This window comes from Homo sapiens, chromosome X, assembly GCF_000001405.40.
Source record: "Homo sapiens chromosome X, GRCh38.p14 Primary Assembly".
In the NCBI taxonomy this organism is placed as follows: domain Eukaryota; kingdom Metazoa; phylum Chordata; class Mammalia; order Primates; family Hominidae; genus Homo; species Homo sapiens.
Genome location: NC_000023.11, coordinates 115892342 through 115907382, shown reverse-complemented (window position 1 = coordinate 115907382; position 15041 = coordinate 115892342). Strand labels below are relative to the sequence as shown.

General features: G+C 52.2%; 2 long non-coding RNA genes across 3 annotated transcripts in view, besides 3 other annotated features; one reads left to right on the top strand and one right to left on the bottom strand.

Moving 5' to 3' along the window:
• Nucleotides 1-15041, top strand: part of DANT2 (DXZ4 associated non-coding transcript 2, distal) — a 128716-nt gene that overhangs the window by 61729 nt on the left and 51946 nt on the right. The gene's annotated exons all lie outside the window — the stretch shown is intronic.
• The window catches only part of DANT1 (DXZ4 associated non-coding transcript 1, proximal), a 64564-nt gene continuing 51378 nt past the window's right edge, over nucleotides 1856-15041 (bottom strand). For both annotated transcript variants that reach the window (NR_147172.1, NR_147173.1), the window contains one exon: nucleotides 1856-2564. This is a non-coding gene — a long non-coding RNA (DXZ4 associated non-coding transcript 1, proximal). The remainder of the gene's footprint in view (nucleotides 2565-15041) is intronic.
• Nucleotides 6198-6699: an enhancer, noted in NCBI's record as "H3K4me1 hESC enhancer chrX:115017017-115017518 (GRCh37/hg19 assembly coordinates)". NCBI's record gives its function as "activates a minimal SCP1, AML or CMV promoter by ChIP-STARR-seq in primed H9 embryonic stem cells {active_cell/tissue: H9 hESC(primed)}" and the evidence as "EXISTENCE:reporter gene assay evidence [ECO:0000049][PMID:30033119]".
• Nucleotides 13395-13444: an enhancer, noted in NCBI's record as "active region_29865". NCBI's record gives its function as "activates an Ori minimal core promoter by ATAC-STARR-seq in GM12878 lymphoblastoid cells {active_cell/tissue: GM12878}" and the evidence as "EXISTENCE:reporter gene assay evidence [ECO:0000049][PMID:35858748]".
• Nucleotides 13990-14489: an enhancer, noted in NCBI's record as "H3K4me1 hESC enhancer chrX:115009227-115009726 (GRCh37/hg19 assembly coordinates)". NCBI's record gives its function as "activates a minimal SCP1, AML or CMV promoter by ChIP-STARR-seq in primed H9 embryonic stem cells {active_cell/tissue: H9 hESC(primed)}" and the evidence as "EXISTENCE:reporter gene assay evidence [ECO:0000049][PMID:30033119]".

The following is a 15041-nucleotide window of genomic DNA, read 5'->3' as shown; positions in this document are numbered from 1 at the left end:
ATGAGCACCTAGGTATGATGTGTACCGTTAAGGGGATTGGGTTACTTCATGAAACTCAAGGTCTCTGTCCTAAAGAGCAGGGGAGGTTGGAAATGGGTTGGGCCTAGAACTTCGTGAGGCCATCTGCCAGTGATAGGACTTTTGGGCTCCCTTTATTGCCCATAATAAATGATCCCAGCCTCACTGGGGCAGAAAAGTCTGTTTGGGACCCAGGGAAGGGAGCCAGATCTTCTGGACTTTTGCCTTGCATTAAATTATGTGCTCACTCACTTTTCTGCCTGATGTCACCTGATCCCTCCTGGGCCTGGCTTGCTGCACTATGGCCCTTCTCCTGACTAATGAGGACTTGTGTGCTCAGGCTGAACTCTAAGAGGGTGCTCCTGCAGAACGGAGTGGGGACGCATGTTCATGCCCACAGCCTGGTACCAATCTCCCCATGGTCTTTAAATCTATCTTTCAACACTCTCAGGAGGAACATAGAGGAAATGTGGTATCTTAAAGAGCTGTCATTCTCTTCCAAGCTGAAACTCAAGAGGCTTAGAAGTATACCTGCATCTACAGTATACCTGCATCTACAAGCCTTCTATGGAGAGTTGTTCAGTCACTGACCATGGGTCATGTGCAAGGAGGTGGGTATTCCTGTTATGGCATCTGTGTCCTCTCCTGGCCAGCCCAAGTGTGGGATCTTTATTGTTTGAAGACAAGTAGATGGCATGTGAGAGCGACAGATCACCAGACTGGGAAGAGGTTATGCAGGATGTACCAGTTGTGAGAACTAGGCACCCAGTAATCAGCTACAATGGATACTTCTTGGCTGTTTCTTTAATAACAGATGGCACAGGGACAGGATCTTGAGGGAGGGGAGGAAGTTTGCTGGTAATTCTGGTACAGTACTGCCATCAAGAGGAACATGTATGGCAATCACAATCACCCTTCCCTGTGGTTGCTTGGGGAGGAGTGGCTTGGTAGTACTGTCAGGATTCAGGCAAGACTAGGAGCTCTGCCCATATAAGCTATCCAGAGGCATGCGGGAAGCATGGCTCATGACCTGTTCAGGTTCTGGAAACTCCAGGGACAGGTGTCAAAAAGAGCTGGACATCCAGGACACCTGGCGGGTCCCATACAGAAAGCTGTGGCTCAAGAGGCTGGTGGCAGCCATGTCTGGGCAAGACTAGCAAAGGCCTCCACCAGGGAGCCCCATCTCAAGGCCATGGGCATTTTGCCTGGTTCCCTTTCCCCTGGGAACAATGGGTGGGAAGGCCTAGGTGGGTCCCAGGCCCTGAGAGACTCCCTTGGCCATAGTGCACCCTAGTGAAAGATCACTCCCAGCACTGTAATTCTTTGGCTATTGGTGCCTGAGATGGCCAGTGCTGGGATGGTCCACCATCTTAAAGAAGAAGATGTGCTGTCTGGGGCCCTGTGGGGCCTAAACCCAGACTTTACTAGATGAGATTGAGGCAACACCAGGCCTGGCCACCATGAGATACTATGCACCCCTGAGGACCTCATTTGTTGTGTCTATGTCTCAAAGGATCAGATGGTTGTCTTGGAACCTGTGCTCGTTTCTGTTTTGGAACCTTCCAAGGCTCCCTCCTGTTCTTTGGGGAGTTCCCAGGTCCTTGCCATGTTTAGGTTTAAACTGGGAGGGAAGAGAGTCTTCCTTGGCCTTCTGAAGTCCAGGAAGCCAAGAGCATGCAGAAGGAAGAACCAATTGGGCTTCTTGTGGAGAGAGCCTGCTACATGCCAGAAAGGACTGCTGGGGTACACTCAGAAAACGCTGTAAATGGTGCTATGACCTGGCACATTAACCCAGACATCTCCATGCCTCCTCTGTATTGGAGGTGGAATTAGGCCAGATCCAACATGGCATGTGAGATTGAAGCTTGGAGGACATGTCGCTTTGCAGGAAACAATCTGGTTAAGCAGAGGACCCGGCCATTTATTGGTGGGTTCTGGCGCTTTCAAGAATGTGAAGAATGAGTGGCCAAAGTTAACAAAGGAGCATGCACAGGGATGGGGGTCACACCCACTTTGTAGAGTTTAAGAATAGTAAGGGACCTACGGGAACTTCTCAAGGTAATAGGTGGCATGTCTTCTTTCCTTGGCATGACACAGAATGTAAAGATAATGGGAGGATGAACCTCCAAGCCTGGAACTTTGGGAGAAGCTTCTCCTCTTGGAAGTGCCAGTAGCAGAAAAGTTCCCAAATAGAACAGATTCCTTCATTCCACCTGAATTCAGAGAGAGATCCATGTGGACACATGTGCCTCTCCATCAGAGACTGCTATCCAGACATTCATCTTCCACCTAAAAATGCACTTCTGCTGTTGACTGCAGGCCAATGTTCCCAGGATAAACAGGGTGACATCCAACTGTTACTTGCCTCAACTTGCCTTTGGGGATCAAGAAGGAAGTTCCCCCGGGTGGGTGGTAGAACTGGAAGTAGTGTCACAGGCCATGGGCTCTTTTGCATTTCTCTTACTGTCTCTCACTTGGCCTGAATGATTTATCACACGATCAGTTGCAACTGCCAAAGTTTGGGAGCACTACATTGATGTGAAGTTCTGGAGACAAAAAGGAACACAAACAGATAAAGGTAGAGAAGACAAAAGGGTGAAAGAGAGGGCTAACGACTGGGAGAAAGAGAGCAGAAAAAGAAAAAAAAAATTATGTCATAAAAACCCTAAAGACAAGTATGTAGAAGTCAAAGAAATGGAAAGGGGCCAGGGAGGTAGCAGCTTGGGTGTAATCCATTTTTGCTGTGTCCTCTGTCTTGTCTTCAGAGCAGTGTTTCTGGACAGTGTGTTCCTGCAGCACATGTTGGGGGCATGCCCACATCTAATTTGCCCCAACATGGTTGCAATACGGTTTCCAGTGCAAAACATTTATGTGGAGGACGATCAGAACACTTGCTTCTTGCCCATCTACCACTCCACAATGGCAAACATGAGTCCTCCACAGCATGCACAGTTCTGTGTGTTTTCTACCCGAAGTGTTCTGGAAAAAGCTATACAGAGATTATCATAGGCGAGGTGTGACTAGGACGCAAGTGTTTGGGGTGACACATGGCTCCCCTCCTGTCTGACTCCCAGGGCTACCACATGAGAACACCCAGGTCTACCACATGAGAAGAGCCCAGGACTCAGTCCCCCTATCCTGGAACTGCATATTCACCTGATTCTTTACTCCCAACCCCCAGGAGCCAATAGGACACTGGTGGCCTTTGACCTCATGGTCCAGCTGGCCTTGGAATGACCTGTGATAATGCCCAACTGGAAATGTCTCCTGGGGGGGTAAGGGGTGGGCTCAGATCCTACTCTGTGCTGAGTCTCCATCTATTCCCTGGGAACTCCATCTTCCCATACTACAGACATAGTTAGGGATATGGTTAGCTCGGGTTCATCCCTAGGGCTGTCAAAGAGGACCAAATCCCTGTTTGTCAGGAAGGCAGGCTAAGAAGTCCCCACCAAGGCCAGTCTCCCCAGGACAGGGCAGGGCCCCACAGGTGAGCCACAGCTTACACAAGGTAGACAACGTGGTGAACAGTCATGTTTGGAGCATGGTTAGCATTTTTTCTTCAGCAAAGGGCAGAGTGAGTGGACCTGGGGGAAGGGCAGGTGGGCATTTCTGTAGCAATATTGCCATTAAGAGGAAGCTGTTTGGCAATCATGCTCACCCTTCCTGTGGTTGCTTGGGGAGGATTGGCTTGGGAGTGTTATGGGGGACCAGGCAGGATGAGGTCCAGTGCCTGGATGGATCTGAGCTCTCTGGAAGCCTGAGGGAAGAGGGGCCCATGGCTGAATAGGGCTGTGAAAGGCCCAGAGAAAGGTGCCAGAATGAGATGGACAGGCAGGATTCCTGGCAAGTTCCCTAAAGGATTTCATGTCTCAGGAGGCTGGTGGTGGCCATGATCTGGGCGGGACTAGCAGAGGCCTCAGCTAAGGAGCATCAGCTTGGGGCTATGGGTAGTTTGCCTGGTGCCTCTTATGGGAGCAATGGGGGTGATGGCCTAGCTGGGTCCTTGGCCCCGGGAGGGTCCCTTGGCTGCAGTGCACCCCAGTGCTGAGGGGCAACTCCCAGTGCTGGAGTTCGGTGGTCATTGGCACCAGTGGTAGCCAGCGCTGGGGTATTCCTCCATCCTAGGAATGAAGATGGGTCACGTGGGATCTTGGCTCATACCCAGAGTGTCCTTGACAAGGTGGACGCAAGGCCAAGCCCAACCACCACGAGACACCACGCACCCCTCCCATGCAACACTCCCTTGTTGTATCCATGTCCCAGAGTTTCTCTTGGAGCCAGGCCATTCCCCATGGTGCTCATTTCTGCCTGGGGGCTTTCCATCAACCCCATATGTCTTGGGGTTGTGAAGGCCTTGCACTGTGATCAGAAGCATACAAACCAATGGGTTTGGTGGCAAACATGGCAAAATGGAGACTTTCTGGGCATCAGCTGGGTAGCATCAGGGCCTTCCTAGGCCTGCTAAAATCTGGGAAGCCAAGGCCATCCAGACAGAAGGACCTGTTGGGCTCAGCCTGGGGACACCCTGCTGTATGCCAGAAGGGTCTACTGGGGTGCTCAGGCAGCAACCCCCTGCCCTACTCAGGGTCTCTGAGGTTCAATTGGGCCAGGACCAACATTGGGTGCAGGGATGAGGCTTGGAGGATGCACCCCTTTGCAGGACATGGTCAGGTAAAGCAGAGGATCGAGCCATTTCCTGGGTCATTCTGGCCCTTTTGAGTGTGTTCAGGAGTTTACCAAGTGAAGAGGGGCTTGTGTCCAAAGGTGGGGATCTGCACTGCTTCACAGAATTCAAGAGTGGAAAGGGACCTAGAGGACCCTCTTGAGAAGACAAGTCGAATGTACTGTTTCTTTGGTAGGACTGAAAAATGCATAAGGAGGTGATGGGCCTCTGAGGCCTGAATTCTGGAAGCAGAGGACCAAAAGTGGAAAAGGTCTTGAAAGACACATAGTCCTCCCTTCCACATGAATTCAGCGAGAGAGCAAGCCATGTGGATTGGTGTGCCCTTCCCTGTCCATGTGCACAGAGACTGCCATCCAAACAGACATTCAAATTCTACCTGTATGCACTCTTGCTGTTGAGTAGGGGCCTATGTTCCCAGAACCAACGGGATGCCATTCAACTAGGACTTGACTCACCTTGGCTTTGGGGACCAAGAAGGAAGGTTCACCAAGGTGGTGGTGGTAGAAGTGGAGGAGGTGGCACAGGCCTTGGGCTCTTGGGCATTTTTTTTCCGCCACCTCTCAACCTACCTGCATGATTTCTCACACATTTAATTGCATCTCTTACAGTTTTAAAGGCACGTTGGCAGGAAGTCCTGGATAGTAAAAGAAACACAAACACGGAGACAGTAGGGGAGGAAGCAGGCCCCAGTGGGAGTGGACCAAAGAGCAGTGAGCCTGGGGGTGGAAATAGAGAGTGAAAGAGCACGCAGTAGAAAAGAGACAGAGATAGAGAAATAAATGTGCAAAATCTCAGAGAAGTGTGTGGGGGTCAAGGAGTCCAGAAGGGGTCAGAGAGGTAGCAGTTTGGGATTACTGTGTTTCTTCTGTTACCTCTGTCTTCAGAACAACGTTCAATGTCACTGTGTTCCTGCAGCACAAATTAGGCATTTGCCCGCGCCTTCACTGCCCCAACACGGTGACCATAAGGTTTCCGTCACAGAATTTTTGTGGGGAGGAAGATCAGAACACTTGGGTTTTGACCATCTACCACTCCCCCATAGCACACACAAGTCCTCAACAACTTGCACTCCTCTGTAGAGAAGCCTTCTGGGGAGAGCTCTCCAGAGGTTGACATAGGCCAGGTGTTAGAAGGACAGGTGTGCTTGGAGTGGCTCCTGGCTTTCAATTTGGTCCCGTCTGACCTATTCTGGCTTGGGCTCTCCCCCACCCCCTTACCAGGGCTGCTGTGTGAGAAAAGCCAGGGGCTCAGTCCTTCTATACTGGGATTGTAAGTTTTAGTGCCACACCCTAGGGGCCAATGGGATGCTGGTAGCCTTTGACCACGTGGTAGGTTCCAGGATGAGCTGGACAGCCAGGATTCCTGGTGCAACTCATACAGGAAGCCATGGCTGGGGAGCCTGGTGGCAGTCATTATCTGGGTGGGCCTAGCGAGGCCTCAGCCAAGGAGCATCGGCTCAGAGCCCTGGACAGTTTGCCTTGTGCCCCTTCCCCTGGGAGCAACGAGGGTGATGCCTAGCTGGGTCTACAGCCCTGGAAGACTCTCTTGGCCACGCTGCATGCCAGTGAGGAGGGGCCACTACTAGCGCTGCGTTCTGTGGCCACTGGTGATGGTGCTGAACTGCACCCAGGCGTTCCTCCATCCAAGGAGGAAGATGGTTGGTGTGGGATCCTGTGGGGCCCATAGCCAAGCTGTCCTTGAGAAGGTGGATGCAAGGCAAGGCCCAACCACCCTGAGACACTGCACTCCCAATGTGACCCTCTCTTGTTTTGTCCACATCCCAGAGTTTGTCATGGAGCTGGGCCATTCCCCCAAGGTGCTCATTTCTGCCTGGGAGCCTTCTTTTGACCCCATCTGTCTTTGGGGGTGCACAGGCCCATTGACAAGAAGGGGACCAACCAGTGGGTTGAGTGGCAAACGTGGCAAAATGGAGACTATCTGGGTGACAGCTGGGTGGGACCAGGGCCTTCCTAGGTCTGCTAAAGTATGGGAAGCCAAGAGCACCCAGAAGGAAGGACCCTTCAGACTCGGTGTGGGGACAGCCTGCTATGTGCCAGAAGGGTCTGCTGAGGTGCACCCAGGCAGCATCACCCTGCCTCTCCTCAAGTGGGTCTCTGAAGTAGAATCAGGCCAAGCCCCACATGGGTTTTACGGATGAGGCTTGGAGGATGTGTCCTTTTGCAGAACACGGTCTGGTACAGCAGGGGACTGGGCCATCTCCCAGGGAATTCTGGCCTTTCTGAATGTGTTCAGGAGTCTCCCAGGTGAACAGGGGCTCGTGTCCAAAAGGTAAGGATCAGCACCCTTTCGCAGAATTCAGGAGTGCAAAGGGACCTAGAGGATGCTATCGAAGTTACAGGTGGGATAAGCTGTTTTCTGGTAGGACTCAATGAAGGCATAAGGAGGTGATGGGCCTCTGAGGTCTGAATTCTTGGAAGCATAGTGCCCAGTTTGGAGTACCAAAATTAGAAATGGTCCTCAGGGTACATGGTCCTCCATTCCTCCTGAATCCAGCGAGAGAGCAAGCCACGTGTATAAGCATGCCCCTCCATCCCCGTGTGCACAGACTACCAACCAAACATTCACCTTCCACTGCAATGCACTATTGCTGTTTAGTGCAGGCTGGTGTTCCCAGGACAAACGGGGTGACATTCAACTTAAACATGCTTCACCTTGGCTTCAGGGACCAAGAAGGAAGGTCCCCGGGCTGGGGGTGGTGGTAGAAACGGAGGGAGTGGACCAGGTCTTGGGCTCTTGAGCATTTCTCTTGCCACCTCTCAGCCTACCTGCACGATTTCTCACACGTTCAGTTGCATCTCTTATCATCTTAAAGGCACACATTGACAGGAAGTCCTGGACAGTCAAAAAAAAAACAACCACACAGAGACAGAGCAGGAGAGGAAGCGGGCCCCAGTAGAAGTGGACGAGAGAACATTGGGCCTGGGGGTGGCTCAAAAGAAAGGAGGAGAGAGAGCACACAGTAGAAAAAGGAAGAGACAGAGAAGGAAAAACCTGTCATGGAAAATCCCAAAGGGAAGTGCGTAGGGGTCAAGGAGTCCGGAAGGGGCCAGAGAGGTAGAAGCTTGGAGTAGTGTGTTCCTTCTTTTTCCTCTGTCTTGAGAATAGCATTCAATGTCACTGTGTTCCTACAGCAGACGTCAGGCATTTGCCCCCGCCTTGACTGCTCCGACGAGGTCAACATAGGGTTTCCGTCACAGAATATGTGTAGGGAGGAAGATCAGAAGACTTGGGTCTTGCCCATCTACCACTCCCCCATAGCACGCATGAGTCCTCAATGGCATGCACACCTCTCTGTGTTTTTTATGTCCAGCCTTCTGGGCAGAGCTGTCGGGAGGTTGATGTAGGCCAGGTGTGAGGAGGACAGGTGTGTTTGGGATGGAACCTAACTCCCCTCCTGTCTGACCTAGGCTAGCTTGGGCTCTCCCTCCCAACCCCCTTGCCATGGCTGCCATGTAAGAAGGGCCGTGGGCTTGGTCCCGCTATCCTAGAGTTGTATATTCACCTGAAGTTTGAGTTCCAGGACCCAGTGGTACACTGGTCACCTTTGACCTCGTGGTCAAGCTGGTTTTGGAGTGACCTATGAGAATGCCCAAGTGCAAATGTCTCCTGTAGGGAAGGGGCTGGGCTCGTGTCCTGCTGTGTGCCCAATCTCCTTCTCTTCACTGAGGACTCCACCACCCTTCCATGCTAAAGGAGTACTTAGGGATGGGGTTAGGTTGTGGCCATCCCTAGGGTGGTCCAAGGGGACTGCTTTCCTGTTTGTCAGGAAGGCAGGCTAAGAGGTCCCTACTGAGGCCAGTCTCCTGCAGGTGGCTCAGTGCTGGGTGAAAGTTGCTAAGATGGTGATCAGCCATGTTTGGAGCATGGCTGGTGTTTTTTTCCTCAGCAAAGGGCGGAGGGAGTGGACCTGGAGGAAGGGCAAGTGGGCATTTCTGGAGCAATACTGCCATCAAGAGGAACTTGTCTGGCAATCCCGTGTACCATTCCCTGTGCTTACCTGGGGAGCAGTGGCTTGGGAGTGCTGTAGGGGACCAGGCAGGACTAGGGCTGGTGCCTGGATGGATCTGAGCTCTCTGGAGGTTCGAGGGAAGTGGGGCCTATGTCCACATGGGGCCGTGGAAGCCCCAAGGATAGATGCCAGGATGAGCTGGACAATGAGGATGCCTCGCCGGTCCTGTAGAAGAAGCCATGGCTCGGGAGCCTGGTGGTGGCCATGATCTGGGCGGGACTAGCAGAGACCTTGGCCAAGGAGCCTGGGCTCAGGGGCATGGGCAGTTTGCCTGGTGCCCCTTCCCTTGGTAGCAACAGGGGTGACGGCCTAGCTGGGTCCTTGGCCCCGGGAGGCTCTCTTGGCCACACTACATGCCAGTGAGGAGGGACCACTCCCAGCAGTGAGTCCTAACTGTGGCCATTGGCTCTGTTGGTGGCTGGTGCTGGGGTGTTCCTCCATCCTAGGGAAGATGGACCACATGGAATCCTGCGGGGCCCAGACCCAGACTGTGCTTGATGAGGTGGACGCAAGGCCAGGCCCAGCCACTCTTAGATATCGTTCCCCCGATGTGACCCTCTCTTGTTGTGTCCATATCTCAGAGGTTGTCTTGGAGCTTGGCCATCTTCCTGGTGCTCATTTCTTCCTGGGGGCCTTCCGTCAACCTCGCCTGTCACTGTGCATGCCAGTACACACAGAGATTTCCATTTACCTTCCCACCTCAATGCACTTTTGCCATTGAACATGTGCCGAAGTTCCCAGGACCAACAGGACGACATTCAACTGTCACTTGCCTCACCTTGGCTTCTGGGACCAAGAAGGAAATTCCCCGGGGTAGTGGTGGTAGAAGTGGAAGATGTGGCATGGGGCCTTGGGCTTTTGAGCATTTATCTTGCTGCCTCTCAGCCTACCTGTACAATTTCTCACTTGTTCAGTTTCATGTTTTATAATTGTGGAGGAATACATTTACATGACATCTTAGAGAGTTTAAAACACACAGACAAATACATAGAGCAGGAGAGGAAGATGACAAAACAGCATTTGGCTGATGGGTAGAAACAGAGAGAGAGGAAGAACGAGAGTGAGACAGAGACAAAGAAAAAAACATCTCATGGAAAATCCAAAAGAGAAGTGTGTGGGTGTCAAGGAGCCCAAAGGGGACCAGAGAGGTAGGAGCTTGGGTGTAGTCTGTTTCTTCTGTTTCCTCTGTCTTATACTGAGAGTAGCGTTCTTGGTCACTGTGTTCCTGCAGCATAGTTGGTGGTGGTCTTGCGTTTAGCTGCTGCAACATGGTTGCCATAGCGTTTCTGTTACAGGGTATGTGTGGGGAAGGATATAGTAACACTTGGGTCTTGCCTAGGTGAACACAAAATATCTGAGACAGGTCTCAGTCAATTTACAAAGTTCATTTTGCCAAGGTTAAGAACGTGCCCATGACAAAGCCTCAGGGAGTCCTGAGACATGTGCCCAATGTGGTCGGGGGTACAGTTTGCATTTAGACAGTTTACAGAGACATCAGTCAATATGTGTAACATGTACATTGGTTTGGTCCAGTAAGGTGGGACAACAAGAAGTGGGGACTTCCAGGTTAGAAGTAGATAAGCAACAAAAGGTTGCATTCTTTTGAGCCCTCGATAAGTTTTCCACTGAATACACAATGTAGTCTGGCTCAGAGAATCTGCATTTTTACATAAATGATAGGGGAGAGGAAGCAATCAGATACTCATTTGTCTCAAGTGAACCTCAAGGGATGACTTTGAATAGAATGAGAGGCAGATTTCCCCTAAGCAGTTCCCAGGTTGACTTTTCCCTTTAGCTTAGTGATTTTGGGGTCCCAATATTTGTTTTCATTTCACACCCATCTTCTGCACCCCCATGACTCACAAGAGTCCTCAACAGCATGCACAACTCTGTGTGTTTTCCACCTCTAACCTTCTGAGGGAAGCTGTCCAGAGATTGACATTGGCCAGGTATGAGGAGGACACGTGTGTTTGGGGTGGCACCTGGCTCCCCTCCTGTCTGACTTATCCCTGCCGGGACCCTCCAGGACTGCCATGTGAGAAGAGCCAGGGCATCATTCCCACTGTCCTGAAATTCTACGTTCACCTTACTCTAGTTCACCCCAGTGGCCTCTGGGATGCTGGTCACCTTTGACCTCGTGGTCAAGCTGCCCTTGGAGTGAACCATGACAACACCCAAGTGGAAATGTCTTGTAGAGGGCAAGGGGTAGGCTTGGATCCTACTGTGTGCCCAGTCTCCATCTCTTCTCTGAGGGCTCCACCATCCTCCCATGCTAAAGGCGGGGTTAGGGATGTGATAAGTTCCAGTCTATTCATAGGACAGCTGAAGGGGGCTGTTTCTCTCTTTGTCATGAAGGCAGGTGAAGAGGACCCTGCAGAGGCCAGACTTTGCTGAAAGGAGCCCTGCATGTAGGCCAAAGTTCACCCAAAGTGATTGAGATGGTGATGGGCCATGTTTGGAGCATGGTTGGTGTTTTTTCCTCAGCAAAGGGCAGAGGGAGTGGATGGGGGAAAAGAAGGTGGTATTTCTGGAGCAATACTACCATCAAGAGGAACTTGTGTGGCAATCCCGTGCATCTTTCCCTGTGCTTGCTGGGGAGGAGTGGCTTGGGAGTGCTGTGGAGAACCAGGCAGGACTAGGGCCAGTGCCCAGACAGATCCGAGCTCTCTGGAGGCCTGTGGGAAATGGGGCCTGTGGCTCAGGCCATGGAGGCCCCTGAGTTAGGCCAGGGTGACCTGGACATCCAGGATGCCTGGGAAGCCATGTCTTGGGAGCCTGGTGGTGGCCATGTCTGGGCGGGACTAGCGGAGGCCTCAGCCAAGGAGCATGGGCTCCGGGCGTGGGCAGTTTGCCTGGTGCCCCTACCCTTGGGAGCAAGAATCCTGATGGCCTAGCTGGGTCCTGAGCCCTGGGAGGCTCCCCTGGCTGCAGTGCACACCATTGAGAAGGGGCCACACTTAGCACTGGAGTTCTGCAGCCATTGGTGCCAGTGGTTGGAGAGCGCTGGGGTGTTCCTCCATCCTAGGGAAGAAAATGGGCAGCAATCCTGCAGGGCTGGTACCCAGACTGTCATTGACAAAGTGGATGTAAGGCAATGCCCAGCTACCTTGAGACACTGTGCCCTGCGCCCCCCCACCCCGTGACCCTCTTTTGTTGTTCCCATGCCCCAAATGTTCCCTTGGAGGTGGGCTATTATCTATGGTGCTCATTTTTGCTTGGAAGCCTTCTGCCAACTCAGCCTGTGCTTTGAGGGTGGGCAGGCCCTTGTCCTGTGATCAGAAGTGGACCAATGTGTTTTGTGGCAAGCGTTTCAAAATGGAGACTCTGGGTATAAACTGTTAGGGAGAGGGTGGTCCCAAACCTGCTGAAATTCCAGAAGCTAAGATGACACAAAAGGACAGACCCATCGGGCTTGGCCTCAGGAGATCCTGCTGGGTGCCAGAAAGAACTTCTGGGGCATGCTCAGGCAAATGTAGTGAATGACGCTTGGCCCTGGCTCATTCACCTGGACATACCCCTGCCTCTATTCAAGTGTGTCTGCAGAGTAGAATATGGCCATGTCCAACATGTTGTGCTTCACTAGAGCTTGGAGGACATGTTCCTTTGCAGTAAGGGATCTGGTAACGCAGAGGACTGGACTCTTTTCCATGGTGGGTGAGTTCTGGCACTTTTGAGAATGTCGAGAAAAGCTGACAAATGAACAGGGGTGCGTGTCCATGGTGGTGAGGCTCAGCCCACTATAGAATTCAAGAGAGGGAAGAAACCTAAAGGACCCTTTCGAGGTGACAGGTGAAATGTGTTGTTTCCTTAGGGTGGGACATAATGTAGCAAGCATAAGGTGATGAGCCTCTGATGCCTGAATCCTTAGGAGAACCGCCTTCTTCAGAGCACTAATAGTAGAAAATGTCCCAAAGAATACATGGTCCTCTTTTTCCATCTCAATCAAGAGACAGACTCACGTAAATACCTGTGCCCACAGAGACTGCAATTCAAACAGACATTCACCTTCCACCTAAACACCTTGTAGTCAACCTGCCCTTGGAGTGACCCATGAGAATGCCCAAGTGGAAATGTGTCATAAATGACAGAAGGTGGGCTTGGATCCTACTGTGTGTCCAGTCTCCATCTCTTCCCTGCAGGCTCCACCATCCTCCCAAGCTAAAAACATGGTTAGGGAGGCAATTAGGCCTGGTCCATCCCTAGGGCTGTCCAAGGGGACTGCTTTCTTGTTTGTCAGGAAGGCAGGCTAGGAGGACCCCACCAAGGCCAGTCTCCCAAGGGAGAAGTTCCCGCCTGTGGGCCAGAGCTGGCCCAAAAGGGCCGAGATGGTGATCAGCCATGTTTGGAGTGCAGTTGGCGTTTTCTCCTCAGCAAAGGGTGGAGGGAATGGACCTGGGGGAAGAGCAGATGGGCATTTCTGGAGCAATACTGCCATCAAGAGGAACTTGTTTCCTGGGCATTTCTCTTGCTGCCTGTCAGCCTACTGACATGACCTCTCACACGTTCAGTTGCATCTCTTACAGTTCAGGAGAAATACATTGATATGATGTCCTGGAGAAAGACAGATACACAAACATAGAGAGAGAGGGTTAGAGGGGGAGATGGCAAGAGAGAGAGAAAAAAAAGAGTTTGGTTCAAAGTGTTGGGAATGAGTCCGGGAGGCAGCAGCTTGGGTGTTGTCTGCTTTTTCTATTTTCTCTGTCTTATCTTCACAACAGTGTTCGTGGTCAGTGTGTTTCGGCAGCACACGTTGAAGGTATTCCCATATCTACTCTGCCCCAACACAGTCATAATAAGGTTTTTGTCAGAGAATATATGTGGGGAGGAAGATCAGAAAAAGTGGGTCTTGCCCATCTACTGCTCCCCTGTGACACACAGGAGTCCTCAACAGCACTCACACCTGTCTGTTTTTTCCCACCTCAAACATTCTGGGGTGAGCTGGCCAGAGACTGATATAGCCCAGGTGTGTTTGGGGTGGCACCTGGCACTCCTCCTGTCTCATCTATCTTTGCCTGTACCCCATGGGGCTGCCCCAGGAGACAAGCCGGGGGCTCAATCCTGCTGTTCTAAAATTGTACGTTCACCTTACTCTTTAGTCCACCCCAGTGGCCTGTGGGATGCTGGTTGCCTTTGACCTTGTGGTCAAGCTGGTCTTGTAGTGACTCATGGGAACACCCAAGTGGAAATGTCTCTCAGTAGGCAGGGAGTGGCTTAGATACAACTCTGTGCCCAGTCTCTTGTCTTTTTCCTGAGCGCTCCACCATCCTCCCATTCTAAAGGCATAGTTAGGGATGTGGTTAGGTCAAGTCCAACCCTAGGGCGGTCCGAGGGGACTGCTTTCCTGTTTGTCAGGAAGGCAGGCTAGGAGGACTCCGCTGAGGCCAGTCTCCCTAGGGAAAGGGTGCCACAGGTGGGCTAGAGCTGGCCCAAAGTGGCCAAGATTGTGATCGGCCATGTGTGGAGCATGTTGGCGTTTTTTCCTCAGCAAAGGGTGGAGGGAGTGGACCTGGGGGAAGGGCAGGTAGGCATCTCTGGAGCAATACTGCCATCAAGAGGAAATCATTTGTCAATCCTGCACACCCTTCCCTATGCTTGCCTGGGAAGGAGTGGCTTGGGAGTGCTGTGGGGGAGGAGGCAGGACTAGGGCTGGTGCCCGGACAGATCTGAGCTCTCTGGAGGCCTGACAGAAGTGGGTCTGTGGCCAGTTCAGGCCGTGGAAGCCCCAGAGATAGGCACCAGGATGCGTGGCTGGTCCTGCACAGGAAGTCTTGGTTGGGGAGCCTGGTGGCGGCCATGTCTGGGAGGGACTAGCAGAGATCTGGGCCAGGAAGCATCAGCTCAGGGCCATCGGCCCTTTTCCTGGTGCCCCTTGGGAGCAAAGGGCCAGATGCCCTAGAGGTGTACCTGGCCTGGGAGGCTTTCTTGGCTATGGGGCACCCCCAGTGAAGGTCCCTTCCCAGTGCTGGAGTTCTACGGCCATTGGTGCTTGCGGTGGCTGGCATTGGATTGTTCTTCCAATCTCTGGGAGAAGACGGGCTGCTTGAGACCCTGTGGGCCCATACTCAAACCTTTCTCTTTTTTTTTGACATGATTGAAGCAATGCTATGCCCAACCACCTTGAGAAGCCACCCACTCTTGCAACCCTGTTTTTCTGGTGTCCCTGTTCCAAAGGACGGGACCTTTGTCTTGGAGCGGGCCCATCTCCCTTGCATTCATTTCTGTTTCACATCCTTCTGCTATCTTCACCTTTGCTTTGATGCCACTCCAACATGATTGCTCATACAGCAATACACAGGAATGGACTTTGCT